This window comes from Homo sapiens, chromosome 8 (assembly GCF_000001405.40).
Source record: "Homo sapiens chromosome 8, GRCh38.p14 Primary Assembly".
Classification (NCBI taxonomy): domain Eukaryota; kingdom Metazoa; phylum Chordata; class Mammalia; order Primates; family Hominidae; genus Homo; species Homo sapiens.
Genome location: NC_000008.11, coordinates 108,900,686 through 108,917,508, shown reverse-complemented (window position 1 = coordinate 108,917,508; position 16,823 = coordinate 108,900,686). Strand labels below are relative to the sequence as shown.

The following is a 16,823-nucleotide window of genomic DNA, read 5'->3' as shown; positions in this document are numbered from 1 at the left end:
TAAATAATTTGGTTTTTATCCTAACAGTAATTGGGTACCATTGAAAGATATCAAACAGTGAGGTAACAAGATCAACTTTGCATTTTACAAAGCTCAATCTGGCTGCAGTATGGACAGAGACCTGGCTTGGTCCCCTATGCAATTGCCAGGAGGGAGACACCTTCACTAAATTACCTTCATGTTTGCTGTACTCGGTAGAAACAGAATTGCTGTTTAACTGTTAACACTACAGCATAAGAGAACGAAGCAATCTGTTTTCACATATTCCTGCAAGGAAAAGGTTATTTGGTGTTATTTGTACAAACAATATTGAATAGTAGATATGGAGGAAATGAAAAAGAATAGGTCATCCACATGCCCATAGCCTCGGAGTAAAATAAAATATTGACAATGTAATGCAATAGCCAGGCAAAGTCACACCGCACAATACATACAAATGAAAAAAGTATTTGTGTTTGTTGATAGTTTCCTGATAATTAATTTCTGCATATGTAATGCAAATAATTTTAGAAATTGTTGGAAAGGAAACATGGATATCCAAAGACACTTGAACTTGATAATTTTGTGCCTCATTCTCTTAATCTCTGAAGTTGGTTTCATGTTGCAGGTGACATTACCACGTATATGAATCTTTAAATAAAATAGAAACAGTGGGACTTCTTTCATAGCTCTTGAACTGTGATTGAGTTTTGTTATCCATAGTTACCTTAGTAGAAACATGAGCTTCTTAAAAGGCAGGCCCCATGGCATATAACTCTTCCTTTCACTGTTTCTAGCATAATTCTTTGCACATGTAAATGAACAACATTAGTGCTGAATGAATAAATGGTGAATTAACAAATGGATGAAGGATGTTGTCAAATGATTGAAGCCGCAATTTTATTTTCCTGGTGTACTTTTTCAAAATGTATACTGGGATATTCATACAGGTATTCAACAAACATAGCACAGGTCTTTTTAGTCATCTGTTCATAACAAGTGTCAGTACTTGTCTTTATAATATCTTTCATAGAAGTTTATAGGAGGTAAAAATATATAACCAACTTTGAACAAAAGTATAATTCACACGGAATTCTTTAGTGCAAAAGAGATGTGTAAAAATTGAGTTTGCTGGGTATTTGCTAACCAGTATGTAATTCCTAACTGGCATTACTGAAAATTTTTTGAAAATTTGATTTTATTTGTCAGAAATCCCACTAAGTTTAAATTTAGTAGGGAGGAATCCTCAGTGTTTAACTGGAAGACCAATAAAAACCAAGAGGATTGCAGACCTGTTTTCTTATAAGTAGTTACGACACCTAAGAAAGTATTTTAAAGTTAATAAAGAAACATTAAATTTCTTGTTGAAAATATCAGTATGGAAAAATTTATATTTTATAATTACTACAATAAAATAAAACTTCTGTTTATTCTCCAGTGTGTTTGAAAAAAAGAAAAGCACCCTGGAATTTGGATCATTAAGGTAACCTATATTGTTGTGTTGTTGCCGAGGTTTTTTTTGTTTGTTTTTTTTTTTTTTACTTTTCCTGCCTTGCAATTTGAAATTTTTCATTTTTTATTGCAGTTATACTGATTCTTCAACTAAAACTTTCTTGGGACTTGTAATACGAAGTATCGTAAACAAGGTCATGCACCACTAATAAAAGAAATATTATTCGCTTATTACTCAGAATGCCTTGGGCTGTCTTTCTGCATGCAATCCACTTAATAAGTAACCCAATAGCAGACAAGTTCAGGAGAAGGTGCAGGCCTGTCCAGCCAGCAGAGGAAGAGTCAGCTGCCTCCACGACTACACTCCAAATGGACATATTTCATATTCTCCCCATACAGACTGCATGGCTTGGGTCTACCTGGAAACACCTTAGAATAGAGATCTCCCCTCCATTCCTGGGTTCCTTGGAAACATGAAGCTACACTCACCACCAACCATCTGTTCCCATGTTAAATATAAAATGGAGAAGAAATTGTCTATTTTGAAGGGAAGAGAGAGCCATCATCTTTTACAAGTGCCAGAGGTAGTTTTGCTTAGTGCTTCCAAGTCCTTTGTAGGCTGAGCACTGAAGTGAAGAGGATATGGGCAGGAGCTGCCTAAGAAGAGGAGATGAAAGAAAGCAGAAGTCCACTAGTGAGGTCTCTATAATGCCTCGGTATCTCCTGCCACAATCCACAGGCTGCCCTGGGCTCTGGGTCATCTCTAAAGATAAAATTAGTCATTGTATGCTGGCACTGATATTACATGTGTTGCATACATAGTCTCTAAATCATACACTAACCCTAAGAAATAGGTGTCACCATTCCCTTCTAACAGATAAAACGGAGGCTCCATAAAAATAGGTTAGTCACCAAACAATATTTTGGTTTGATCCTAAAGTCTATGATTTTCTCTTTACAAAGAGGGATCTGTGGAGCTCTGGGATGTTTCCTGTCTCCCACTAGACTGTCTGCTCACTCAGGATGGGTACCTAGTTTTTTTGCTTATGGTTCCATTCCAGGCCTTGGAAAACTGCCTAGGTATTCGTAATATATACATATTATGTATATATTATATAATAGACACATATTATGTATATATTATATAAGAGACATATAATATACATATATGTATATTTACCATTTGAAAGATGATAACAAGATAGCAAGCATACCTTAGAAGAAAAAAAAATCTCTAGATAGATTTGAAAATAAATAAATAAATAAATAATAAATAAATAAATAAATGGTCTAGGAATTTGTGCTGGGTTCGGCCTGAAATGATTGTATCATTGAGGCTCCCTGGCCATTTGGTTTCATGTTGGTTTTGGCCAGAGAGAGGCACTGGTAGATCAATAGGCTTGGAAGAGAGAGCGATCAGGGTAATTATTCCACGAGCTTTCCTCCTTGGAGTCATCTTGGCTATATCCCTCCACCTTAGGTCACAGCTCCCATCAGGGAATCCACTACAAAGTTCTAAATTTCAGTAACTGCTTCTTGCTTCTTCAGCCTGGGGGTGGCAATAGCTCCTTAATGTTGCCATTAGTTGTTGTTGTTGTTGTTGTTGTTTTTAATGTTTTAACTCTGCTCACATCTTTAGAGGTAGTTCTTTTATCAAACTTTCTTTCAATTTTTTATATGAGTGTGGCATCTATTTTATGCTGGAAATATGAATTATTCAGTAGATGTTTATTTATCTACTTAAATATTGATCAAACCCCAATTATATGTGCATTGTATGTGTTTGTATGGGAGAATGGCTCTCAGAACAATACAAATGTTGAAAACTGATATATCTTTTCTATTTAGATAAAATTGTTTCCTCTTCTCCAACATTTCACCATCCAAGTGAACTAATATTGGTAGTTTTAAATTTTGTTCTCTCTCTCCCTCTTTATTTCTTTCTTTCTCCTTCTTTCCTTCCTTTTTCCTTTCTTTCCTTTCTTTTCCTTTCTGTCTTTTTTTCTTCCTTTTGCATTCTGCCCAGCTATGGATAGTTATCCTACATGCTATGTAATGCTGGAGGGAAGACAAGTCCCATCTCTGGCAGCCAGATGTGGAGGTTACCAATGAGGAGCCTGGCAAGGAGGTTTCACCATAAGAAAAGGGCCTGCATGGCCGACTTTGTGGGTTGCTGGAGATGGTAGACTCAAGGAGGTCTCTTCAAGGTAAACATTGATTGCTACTGCCAGGCTGACTACATACTGCAGCTTCCCTCAGGTGGGCATCAGCTTTAGGTTTTCACTAACAGGCTGAGTGAGGGTTCTCAGAGGTCCTGTGCCTGGGAGGACGCCTGATAGAATCTTGCACTGGCTCTTATTGTTGGCTTTCATTGTCATTGTGATGAGCCCTGCTGAACAGGGATGTTCAGTGCCCAAGGGACGCTTACCTGCAATCACTCATTCCCTGCCTGCACACCCACATGCAACCTCAGAAACCCACAGTGACTTATACACAAAAGGATTAAAGGCAGGACCCAGGAGGTGGGGTGACCAGGAGTGCAGGGAGTTCCAGCCCACCTGCAAGAGAGGAAGCATCTCTATGCAAGCTTCCGTTTAGAAGCCTAAGTAGCTGCTCCTTACTCAGTCCTCTATATTAGAGTCCTTTTATGTCAAAATTTCTGGTTTGCCTGTCTTAAAGTTTCAGGTTTTTGTGTTCTATTTTCTAGTGCAACTTGTGTAAGAATGTCATCTTCTGTAATGCAAGCCTCCTTGTATTCATATTTCACATTCCTTGAGGACATGGCCATATATTTTTTTCTAAAGTATGGTCTGGTCTTGTTACACAGTCCTCAGAAATATTCTAATATTTTTTAACAAATGCAACCAGAGTCTTTTTAGTTTGGCATTCAAGGTGCTTTATAATATTTTTCCTATATCTCTGTTTTTAGTAGTTTCTTCTCTGTAACCTGTGTTTCAGGGAAAGAAAAAAAATCCTGAACATTTCTTGAAATTTTTCCTCCTTTATTATTTCTCCTGTTCAATTCTCCACCTCAGTAGCAAAGGTACTTCTGCATCAACCATCCCTACACTTTTTCTCTATTCACCAATAAAAATACCGAATGCGTTCTCTCCCTCCTTTGAACATGCAATTAACTTTGTTGTATCCCTCTCATAGTACTAGCCGACTTTTGTCTTGTAGTATGTTTATTGTAAATTTTTAAATTCCCATCCACTAGTTTGTAAGTTTCCTTGAAAGTTATTTTACACAAGAGAAGCCATGGAGATAAAGTCACTAGTATGTGGGTTTGGGAGGGCAAAGTGATCCAAGTTAGCACCTTGAGTTACAATATTTGAGAATTTTGTGAGGAGTAGGAGTCCAGGATTATTAGGCATCAAATAAATGTCTTCCTCTTCCTTCTGCTGGCTTCTCCAGCTCTAGGCAAACTTGGAATTCTCCTAGTGTACCCATTAGTTTCATTAAATCAATCTTTTGGTTTTTGTCTAAATATTTCTTTCTAGGAAAAGAATTTCTAATGCAGCCTTAACTTGCCAAGGCAGATACATACCACTAGCCAACATACTTTATGACTTTTACCATTTATGTTCATTTTTTTCCCTTTTTCACTGAAATATGTAGCAGGCTGAAAGGATATTAAGTTTTGAAGTAGTTTGCCTCAATAATATGACATAAGGGCATTTTTTCTCTATATGCTTATGTATTTTCAGCTTCTTTTTTATTTACTTTTACAATAAGCCTTTATATATGTCTAACCATAAATAGGAAGTTAAAAAAATATCCTGAGACATTTTGGCTGAGCTGCCTTTTATTTTCCTTTCTACAACTTTGCTTGCATGCCAAGTGCATACCTCTTAAGATCAAGGTAGCAAATAAAAAGAAAAAGTGGACTTCAGCCAAAGCACTTAGCAGGCTGTCAGAAAGCACTATAGGTAGTTGCTTCTGATTAAAATCAAACCAAACTTCCTTGAAAACTAAGGTTTCCAAAGTCACTCAAAAGTTATAGCAAAACAATTCATATTGACAGCAGTTGCTAGGGACCTGGAGAAATCTACTCATATAGTAAAGATAACTGGAAGTTTTGGGAGTGAGTTTGTAAATTCTGGGTTTCTGTTGGGATGTTAGATGTGGGGGGTGGGGGGGTTCATAAAGAAGCTCTAGATTTCTACTCACAACTCTTAGTAAGCACAAGAAAAAAACTAGGCTTAATGACAACAAAGAATGCCACTTCCTTAATAAATCTCTGGAGACCAAACTTGTATAGTAACATTTTTGTCCTGGTTATACAACAAAATTTTGAGACTCTAAAATCAACAGTTGAGATTGCAGCACATATATAATGAATTACTGTTGAACTTTCCTCACCTTGTGCAAAGTGCATGAAGAACACTTCATACACACATAATTGTGTGTGGCAGGTGGGGTGGGAGGGGATTACAGAAAATCAAATGGGTAAAACTCATTCAGGAGGAGGGAGCAGAAAGTATGGGAGAAGAGGTGTAGCTAGATTTGGTCATGGAGGAAATTATTGCTCCATTCTATGTCTGGTGGAAGCAAGACCTTCAATAACCCCCACAGCCTAGGGATAAAGTGGGGGTGTACTAGGGCACAGATCTAATGACCGGTCATACAAGCAGATACAACGGTGCTGTCAGGGCTCAGTGGGATAGGTCAGATGGTCAGGGAAATCAGCAGTGAGAAGAAAGACTGTAGGCTTTGGGGTCAGAAACGTGAGTTATGAATTCAGCTCTTCTGCTTACTAGCTGTGTGCCCTTGGGGAAATTGTTGAACTTCCATGAAATGGTTTTCTTCCCTCTGAAATGGAGAAAATAATATCTTTGTTTTTGTGCGAAGTAAATGGGACAGGGCATATATATAACATGACAGATGAAGACACATAATTAGTTTGACTACAGCCAGATGAAGCTCATCTAAGTTTGTTCATCTTTGCTTCTCCAGTATCTGCCATTTAGAATGTGCCCACAACTGCCAAATCAATAATAGAATAAAGCAAGGGGAATCCCTGAGTCTTCATGGAGTAAGAGCCACACCTTCTTAAGGGGATCAAGGGGCAAAGTGACTTGAAGACAATATTATCATGATAAATAAGGAAATAAGGGAAAGTGTGGAAGGTTTTCATCTCAATGGACATGAAAAAGGTCAGAAAGGGGAAGAATGGCACACTCAATTTTTCTAAGCTGGGAAAGGAAATGGTTGGAGTGCTGAACGTATGTGTGTGTGCGTGTGTGCTCATGCACAGTGCATCTTGGCTAATGAAATGTACACAAGAGAAGTGTCAACATATTGAAATGTACTCTTCCTTTTGTTTTACATCTATCCCCGAAGTGTGCATTATTAGAGTTGAGTGCATTTAATAAGCCAGGATTATCTCCTAGAGTTGCAGAGCAAGACAAAGCAAGTAGAGTCGGTATCTGGAGACCTTTTTGCAAAGAAGGTAGGTTTTGGTGTGATTTTTAAACTCTTGGTATTAACTATTTTTTTATTCTTTTGTATTATGATGTTTTAAAATCAACTTTTGAAGGGTTTTTTGCTTGCTATATGAAATATATTATTAAACTGATTTAGTTGTCCTATATTCTTGGAAAGTATTTCTGGTTGCAAAAGGGTGGCATTTTTGTAGGAGCAGATATTGAAACTGCTAATAAATTAGAATCAAATAATAAGGGAGAATTCAATTCATTTTGGAACCAAAAAGGGAATGAAACACTTTTGCAAATTGATTTGTATTAACTAAATGCTCCCTTTAAAAAATAAAATTCTGGAACGATGACATTTGCTCTGCGTACAACGTGTGTGATCTTTTTAAGATATCAGGTTATCTTTGTGAGATTTAATTTGTAAGCTTTCTTAGAAGGAAAAACATTTTAAGTAAAAAAGAAGTATTTTTTAAGCTATTATGCTTAGTGTATAATTTAACTTAAATGGAAAATGCATAAATGCACTTGATATCTTTTAACAATTGTGCAATTACAATATAATTATTCTTCCTATGCGCAAAGATTAAATAAACTGCATTTCAACGTTAAATACCTTAAGAAGTATGACTGTAGTGGGAGGTCATTAGGTTAAATTCTAATAATAAGCAAATCATAAAATTCTGTTCATCAACCAAGTACAGAATTCAAGTAAATACACATCTATATGTATAGTTAATGGAAATTTATTTTTAGCTTGAGAAATGAAATAGGCATAGTACAGCCCCTGAATTCCTACTTTGCTTGAATAAATCCTCAGCTGAAAAATATTATCCAAGTTGAAGAAAAATGTCAGAAACAAAAAGAAACCCAAAAAGAGGCAAATCCTAAGAACTTTAATCAATAGGAATGGGTACCTAGGGAAAAAAACAAAAACGAAAACAAAAATTACCTAACATTCATTGAATACCAGACCTGAGCTAACACTGCGCTGGGTGTTTTGTATATGTTGTGACATTTAATCATCACAATAATCCATTGATGTAAGTATTGTCATATTTATTTACAGACCAGGCCAGACAGCTGGCATACAATGCTGCTGGAATTCAAACTTTGAAATGTCCCACTCTGAAGCTCATATTAGAACTATCAGATGAAGAAATGCATGAGATGACTAAAATTATGTAATGAACATCTTGAGGAGGTCAAAATTTTTTCAAGTCACTACAGCAAAAGATGTTTTCTGCCATTAAATAATGTCTTATATATTCCTATAACTATTCTAGTTAAATGTATAATTGTGTTCGTATGTGTTAATTAGCATTTATGATCCATGTTTACAGAGTGCACGCACTGTGTTAGACACTGTATTAGAAGTAAAAGATATTGCAATGAATGCTCAGGGAAACTAAGTTCTAACAGGGGAAATAAACAACACAATAGCAGCTTTTGATAAATATTAGGTGGAACAATATGAAACTGCCATGTTGGTTCAATATCAAAATTTCATCTGATTTGACCTAACTATCTAAATATTAAAGTATTTTTTCAAGTGTCCCTACAGAAACTCATGACATACATTTCTGTTATTTGAATATTCTTATACATTGTTTTTTATGGGATTCGATATGCACTGAGTCTCTGCAGAGAGTAGGCAGTTTATGGAAGAATATACAGTAAATCTGATCAACTTCTTAAGAATTACTTAACCTTTACTTTAGCTTTCTGATAAACTCTCAGAAGACATCTGGCAATATCTGAAGACAGTTTTGGTTGTCATACTGGTACCTGTTGAGTAGAGATCAGGTATGCTGCTAAAATCCTAAAATACACAGGACATTCCCCCAATAGGAAAGAGTTATCCAGCTCAAAAGGTTAACAGTAACACACTTGGGAGATCCTGCACTCAACACAAGAAGGGACCAGGCAAAGTTAATTGGGGGGAAAAAAACAGTAATATAAGTATACATCCCAAATCTTGGAGTTTAGCTTTCTCCAAACACCCATTGTATATGTCTGTTGAGGTAATCAAATCTTATGGTGAAAAATATGGACAGGAGTAAAAGTTAGAATGAAGCTTAAGAAAAGTCTTCATCAACATTTAAGTTAACTAAAATAGGACAATAAACTTGACACACTAAATAAATTTGTTATCAATGATCTCTCCTAAGTCTCAAATGAGTAATAATGGGTACTATAGAAGTCCTGTAATTTCTACTCATCCTTCCTTGCTCACTGGAAAACTTAGAGGATCTCCCTCCTCTGAAATTTCTAGCAGATGCTTATAAATTTGTTTTTTGTAAACAATATGTGCACTATTTTATTTTCTATATCTAGTATTCTGTGTTTTTTTAATTTTTTTTTTTTTTTTTAGAGACAAGCTCTCTCTAGGCTATATCACTAGTCTCAACTTCCTGGGCTCCAGCCATCCTCCCACCTCGGCCTCCCAAAGCATCAGGATTACAGGCGTGAGCCATTGCTCCCAGCTTATTTTTTTATTGTTGTGTTTGGGGGACTTTGAATATACAATAAACTAATCAGAGTTATTGCAAACTGTTATCATTAATTCATGCCAGCCCTCATTTTATTTTACTTTAATGTTTATCATCATCTTTTATCTAGACCTCGTTCTTTTTTTCCCACCAGCTATACCAATGTTTAAACATCTGTATCAAAAGAATAATATGCAATATCATTTTGTGTGTTTAATTTGAAGATACTTTATTATGCTTCTCATTCTGCTTCTGCCTTTTTAGACTGAACATGATGTATTAGACATCTAGCCTTGTAATATGTCCATAAGTTACCCATTCTTTTGACTCCTGCATGCATTTTTGACAGTTTATCTATCCATCTCTCAACCGATGGACACATTTCTACTATGGAAATAATGCTGGGTGCAAATTTTTGCCCACACATCTTTCTGTGTCTCTTTAAAATATTCTCTGGAATATATTGCAAATAATTTAATAGCAGATAAATAGCATATACACACATGCTTTGTTTCATTGAATGTTACCAAGTGCTTTCCAAAATAGCTACATTATTTACACTTTCAACAGTACAGGAAGGTTCTTGTTTTCTTTGACATTTCTGTAATTGCTCACTTTCGCACAATCTACATAGCCATTTTACACCTTTTTTCTCTCCTCAAACCTCAAACAACCACTTCCTGCCCTAACTCTCAGCTCATGAGTGAGTATTTCCATAGCTAAATTTAATGACCTCTCTACCTGTCCTCCTGTGAATATGGAATTCTTGTTGTTATCAAAGTTAACATCACCACAAATGACTTCTGAAGACTTCATTCCTGAAATTATCGCTACTCTCACACGCCACCAATGCCTTCCTCTTTACCTGTTCACTCTTGTCAGCATACAAACTTGCTAAAATATCATCCATCCTGTGAAAAAGCAAAACAAACAACTAAAAACCTACCCCACTCCAATGATACTCCAACAATCAACCTTTTTTCTTGACTCCTTTTTATAGCAAAATTCTTGGAATTATTTGTAGTCGCTATCTATACTTCTGTTCCTACCTAATACCATCATCCCCTTTACCTCTATTTTCTAGAAATACTGACCTATTTGTTGTTATTGCTGTTGTTATTGTTAATTTATATTCTTTATACTACCTGTTCCTTCTCATGGAGTGCTTTTAGCCTGGCTGGCTCTTTTTATTAAAAGTTAAGGTTAGGTAATATTTTAGGAAAAAGCCCTTCTGTAATATCTAATTCTAACACCCAGTAACTATTACATCTTGTGCTATTTTAATTCTCTTTCTAGACTGGGTCACTGCAGATCTTTTTATGTTTGCAAATTGTTTGAGATATTTTGTCTCTCTAATTAGAATGTAATCTCTATGACTTTAAGGACCTTACCTGTCTTATTCTACTGCAACCTCTGGAACCTTGAACGGTGCTTGCTATTTGTGTCATTTATTGAATGAAATACTGAAAGTCTTTTTGTTTGAGTGACAGACGATGAGGTCAGAGAGATACTGGATGCCACATTGTGTAAGGCTGTATAGGTCACTGCAGTAGCTGCTCCAGGGCCTGCCCATATCTTCTCACCAGGTCCATGCACTGCTTCCCTACTGCTGTGAGTGCTGGGCAGACAGCAGCCACATAACCTGAGGAGTCACCTCTTGCCCTCAGCCAATGGTTGACAGATAGGAGGGTCTAAAAGTCTGGTCTCCTTGCCTCAAGAGGAGATACCTCTATGATCCATTTATGTACCAGAGCCCTCCTGTGTGGATCAGGCCAATGTCAACGTTACTTGAGATGACCTTGTTTCTTGACTCTTTCTCCCTCTTTGTCCTGCTTTACTCTCCCCCTTACAGGTTGCATGTGGGATCGCACCTTCACCGTATCACTTTTACAAGACTCCTTGTCACAGGCTCTGTTTAGAGAACCCAAAGGAAGTCATTGTAAGGACTTTGGCTTGTATTCTGGGACACGGAAGTCATTATAGGGTTTGAGAAGTGACATGTTCTGCCTTATATTTAGAATTGCTCTTCCCACACCTGTGTTGAGAAGAGACTATAAGAGAGAAAAGAGTGGAAGCAGAAAGACTGGTTAGGAGGCTCTTGCAGCAATCCAGGTAAGAGGTGACGGTGTCTTGGGAGCAATGAGGGTGGTAAGAAGTGGTTGGTTTCTGGAGATATTTTGAAGTACTAGCATATAGAATGCCCTGACAGTTTGTATAAAATATTGGCATTAACTGTAAAGCATAATAGTACACTTAGAGGCTGATTGATTAAGTGGTCTGTTACCTAAAAAGCAGTCTTTGCGTTTCATTCTCCATAGAAATAGTACTTAATTGGCCATCTATTTGATTTTAATCATTGTTTCTGTCATTTAAAGCTATGGGCAGAATAGCTTTATATACATTTAAGCTATAAAGCTTAAATTTAATTTTTAAGAGTTCTACTGAGATCAGGGTCCTAATTTTGAAATTGGCTATAAAATATTTGTACATTTTAAAAACCTATGCTAAAGAATCTAAATGTTCTTAGCTCACTGGGAGGAAATATCAGGCAGCCCCTTGCCAAGGAATCTGCCTAAACCATTGATGTTTTCTATACACGTTTTGGAAGTGAATCTGCACAATAATGTGTATTTTACCTTCCATGTGCTTTATCCTCCAAATATATCTCCAGAGATATTTTCTACTTTTATCCAGACCCCATAGATTCTAGTGTAGATCTAGTTTGATATAAAAAAAGTTTGAGTATGATAACCTCCAGGTTATAAATTATTAGAACTGTGTAGTTTAGACTCTATTTAAGAGAACAATAGTATCCTTAGTGTTTATTTTCCTCAATTGTACAGAGCATAAAATTATACAGAGATCCCACAGGCAGATTCTATTATTCTATCAAGGCCCAAAGTAGATAAAAAATCACTTACTGAATAGCAAAACATCCTTTCTCATCCCAATTTGACTTCTACTCGTTATTAAATTCTTCATGGCCCCACTGAATGTGAGAAACCAAGAGTTAGGGTGAATTTTTATTCTTCTGAAAGGGCAATTTAATATCAGATCCTCACCTATACTTTCAAGTGAGCAACATATGGGGATTTAATTAACTAAAAGAATGTCACAGAAGGAAAGGAATGTGTGTTTTTCTTGCTCACATATTTCCAGGTAATTTAAGAGGATGAAACCTTTGCAATTTAACCTTCAAAAGCTTTCATTTCCTTTGGATTCTCTTACTCCAATTTTGCAATATCCCTCACCTAAACAATCAAACTAAGTTCTAAGGAAGAATTTTATGTCATTACATTTAAATTTTGCTATTTTCACAGGGTTAGTACAGTTTAATTTCAGGAACTGGATTGCCATAGCGAAATCAACAAAATACGGTTTTTTTCAAATAATAAATTTTATTATATAACTTTGGAATTCTACTGAAATCTATGAAATAATTTGTTAATTATAAAGATTCAATGAATGCTGTGATTCCAAATTAAATGCACATCTTCTTTATTAAATGCCTGTATAAGAGCCATCAGTTCATAACTCACAAGTAGGCACTTAATAAATATTTTTAATGGTGATAGATGTCTTGAGGAAACTTTACCTGAGTAGCACTCATTCTCTTTTTTTCTTCTAGAATTACCACTTCTTGAGACAAGTTTTACAACTGTATCTCATTTCAAAGCCTAGTTTCTTTTCTTATTAATGATATACCAGTCAGTATTTGATTTGGTTTCTATTTTGGGGCTTGATATAATAATAGAATCTATGTGACTGTGAATGCAAGGAGAATTTATGTATACTGTTCCCTATACACTGCAGGAAGTCAAATGGGTTACCAATAGTGTCTTAGATAGAGTCTAAATCTACACATTCCCCCAGTAGTTTATAATTTTGGTGTTATCAGACTCCTTTCGCCGTAACTATACTTCCTTACTTATCTAGCTTATGCCTCCAAGACTACTAGAGTCTTGATTGTTTCTCTCCCTTACTTCTGTGATTCTTGGCTTAATAAGTTGTCCTGAGCAATAAATTCTTCTTAGCTGATGTTTTTCCAGTGAAAGGTAGAAATATGTCACAAAGCTTTCTTTGAACAGTGTAGCATAATGGAGAGGTGGCTGAGATGATTATACAAGTCAGACTAGAATAAATGCTACATTTGAAATATAAACAAAGTGCTTGTGAGTTTCCAGGAGTGAGAACAATTAATCTTGATAAAGGGGATTAGAAAGACTATGCAGAAAACATTTCAGTTTTGCAAAGAAATACAAGATTTCAACATGCAGAAAGGCAAAGGAGGACATTGTAGGTTAAAAACAAACAAACAAACAAACATTATGAACAAGAAAATCTGAACAAGTCATTTTCTAGGTGACCAGGGGAGGAAGCAGAAGTTGAAACTGAAAAGGCTTTGGGTCCAGGATGTGAAAGGCCTTAAATGACAGACTAAGGAATCTGGATTGTATTCCACTGGGGGAAACCAGATAATATTTTTAGAGTAATAAAATGATATTTACATTTCAATTACTCTGGAAATGTAAAGGATGAATTGGAGCAAGTTTCAGAAGGCAGGCATGGAAGAGACAATATTGCTTGCCAAACATCCAGACAATTCTCCATATTTTCCTTTGGAGTGTGTGACTAAATTCTTACCAATAGGATTTGAGAAATGATGTACACCTGTCCTGATAGTTTTTGAATTATATATCTTAAACTTATGTTATTGGCTCATCGTTATATTTTCCATGTGAATTTGATACCTTTCTCTTTATGAAAATTTCCTCTTTAACTGTAACATGCTGTTTTTCTGAAAGCCCATTAGTGTGCTTTTTTGTATGCTATTTGTATGCTTTAGAACAGCTATCTGCTTTTTTTTGAAACAGAGTCTCGCTCTGTTGCCCAGGCTGGAGTGCAGTGGCACAATCTCGGCTCACTGCAACCTCTGCCTCCTGGGTTCAAGTAATTCTCCTGTCTCAGCCTCTGGAATAGCTGGGGTTACAGGTGTGCGCCACTACACCTGGCTAATTTTTGTATTTTTAGTAGAGACAGGGTTTCACCATGTTGGCCAGGCTGATCTCAAACTCCTGACCTCGGGTGATCCGCCTGCCTCAGCCTCCCAAAGTGCTGGGATTATAGGTGTGAACCACTGTGCCCGACCTCTGCCTTTCTTTTGGTTAGTGTTGCAGAGAAACTTTCTTTTATGATTCTGGGTAGTTAAGATTTTCTTAGCAAATCTTACTCAAACTTGGGACCTGAAGTGAAACAAGTTTGGAAGGTTATATGATTGGCTAGATAGTGAGAGAACTCTAGAGATCTCTGTTTTAGAAACCTTGTGTGTGCATGCAGGGCAATATAAATAAACACAAATTAAAAATTTAAAATATGGTATATATATTTTCTTCTTGTTCTTCTATTTCTGGTGTATCTATTTTTAAAAAATTTTAACCCAATCAATTAATCTTTGTCTTTTAATTGAAAAATTTAGCCTGTTTAAATTAATAGACATAGTTGCTTTTAAATCTATGTTAGTTATCTGTATTAATTATCTATCTCATCTATTTTACCATGCCTTTGCTCTTCTTGCTATTTTATGATTAAATATTTCTATTATTGTATTTCCTATTTATTAGCTTGTTAGTTATGTTTTTCTGATTAGTATTCTTATTAGGTTTTTCTTGTCTATAAGCTTGTTAGCCATGTAATATTTTACTATTATTTTGATGGTTGCCATGGAGACTACAATATGCATCCTTGAATTTTTAAACCCCCATATATATGAGAGGTTCCATGGTTCCCATGGAACACTTAACTCCATTTACCATCTTCTCATCATTTTAGAATTGTTTTCATGCGTTAACTAAACAAGTATTTTAAAATGACTAACATATTACAATTGTTTCTATAGTCAATATTCATTTAAATTTACTCTTGTGCCCACTCTTTACATCATTTCTCATTTCCTCCTACATATCTGTGCTTCCATGTGGAATTACATACCTGCCATGTGAATAATTCATTTTAATAATTCTTTTAGCATAGGTCTTCTGGGATAAATGCTGTTAGTTTTTGTTTCTTTCGAAAGGTTTTTTATTTTGCCTTTAATTGTGAAGGATATTTTACTCGGTATAGAATTTCTGAGTTGGTAGTAATTTTGTTTCAAGACTTCAACGATCTTCAATGTCTTCTGGATTTCATGCTTATAAAATGTCAATATTATTATTACTCCTTTTAAGTTTATGTTCTTTTTCCCTGTAGATGCTTTTAACTTTTTTTTTCTGTATATAGTTTCCTGAGTAACACGAAGTGTGCTTCCTTTTGCATTTTTCCTGATTGGAATTTTTTATGCTTCTTGAATCTATGAGTTTTCAAAAATTCTTGTAATTATTTCTAAATACTGCTTTTTTCTCCATTCTCTTTCTCCTCTTTTTCTGGGATTTGAATTACACATACGTTTTACTTTTCACCTAATCTCAAATCTCTAATGCTCTTTGGTTTTACATTGTTTTATATCTCCACTCTAATCTTCATTATTTCCTTCCTCTACTAGATTTAAACCTAGTTTGCCTTTTTTTTCTAGTTCCCTAAAGTGGAAAGTTAAGTTTTGATTTGAGATCTTTATTTTTTAATGCATATGTTTATAAATTTTCTTTTGAGCACAGCTTTTGCTGCATCCTATAAATTTTGGTTTGTTGTGTTTTAGTTTTCATTAATCTCTAAGTGTCTTCTAATTTCCCTTATTTCTTCTTTTACTCATTAGTTGCCAAAAGTGTTATTTTCCACATATTTGTAAATGTTCTAGTTTTCCTTTTGTTACTGTTTTCTCATTTCATTCTGTTTTTTTCTGAGAAGATACTTTGTATAATTTCAATATTTTAAAATTTGTTGAGACTTGTTTTGTGGGCTAACATATGGTCTGTCCTGGAGAATCTTCCGTGTGTACTTGATGAGAATGAGTATTCTGCTGTTATTGGGTGGATTATTCTATATATGTCTATTAGATCTACTTGGTTTACTATGTTGTTCAGGTCCTCTGTTTTCTTATTTATCTTCTGTCTAGTTGTTTTACCCATTATTAAAAGTGGAGTGTTGGGGTATCAGCTCTTGTTGTTGAATTGTCTATTTTTGCCTTCCATTCTGTCAAATTTTTCTTTATACATTTTGAGGGTTCAAAGGACAGGCTGATTCCCTTCCTAGAAGCTAATGCAGCTGGTAATTTTAAATGGAAGCCAACGCTCATTTGCCGTTCCAAAAATCCCCAGGGTTCCTACATAGAACAACAAAGCCTAGATGTCCTTTGAAGTTTTGAAGCTAGGCATTGACTTCTCCTATCTAGCTATGAAAGTCCTAGATGACATCTTCTTCCAGTAGAAGGCTATTTTGTCCACATTCAAAAATCTGTTGTTTAGTGTAGCCTCTGCCATCACTTAGCTAGATTTTCTGGATAACTTGATGCAGCTGCTACATCAGCACTTGCTGC

At 35.5% G+C, this 16,823-nt stretch overlaps 1 long non-coding RNA gene across 3 annotated transcripts in view; it reads left to right on the top strand.

Annotated features, from left to right (window-relative positions):
- The window catches only part of LOC101927413 (uncharacterized), a 78,895-nt gene that overhangs the window by 31,400 nt on the left and 30,672 nt on the right, over nt 1-16,823 (top strand). For 2 of the 3 annotated variants that reach the window (NR_188035.1, NR_188034.1), the window contains exon 3: nt 1,418-1,462. This is a non-coding gene — a long non-coding RNA (uncharacterized LOC101927413). Of the gene's footprint in view, nt 1-1,417; nt 1,463-1,564; nt 1,667-16,823 lie in introns of those variants that run through there. The other variant, NR_188033.1, reaches the window with a different exon arrangement.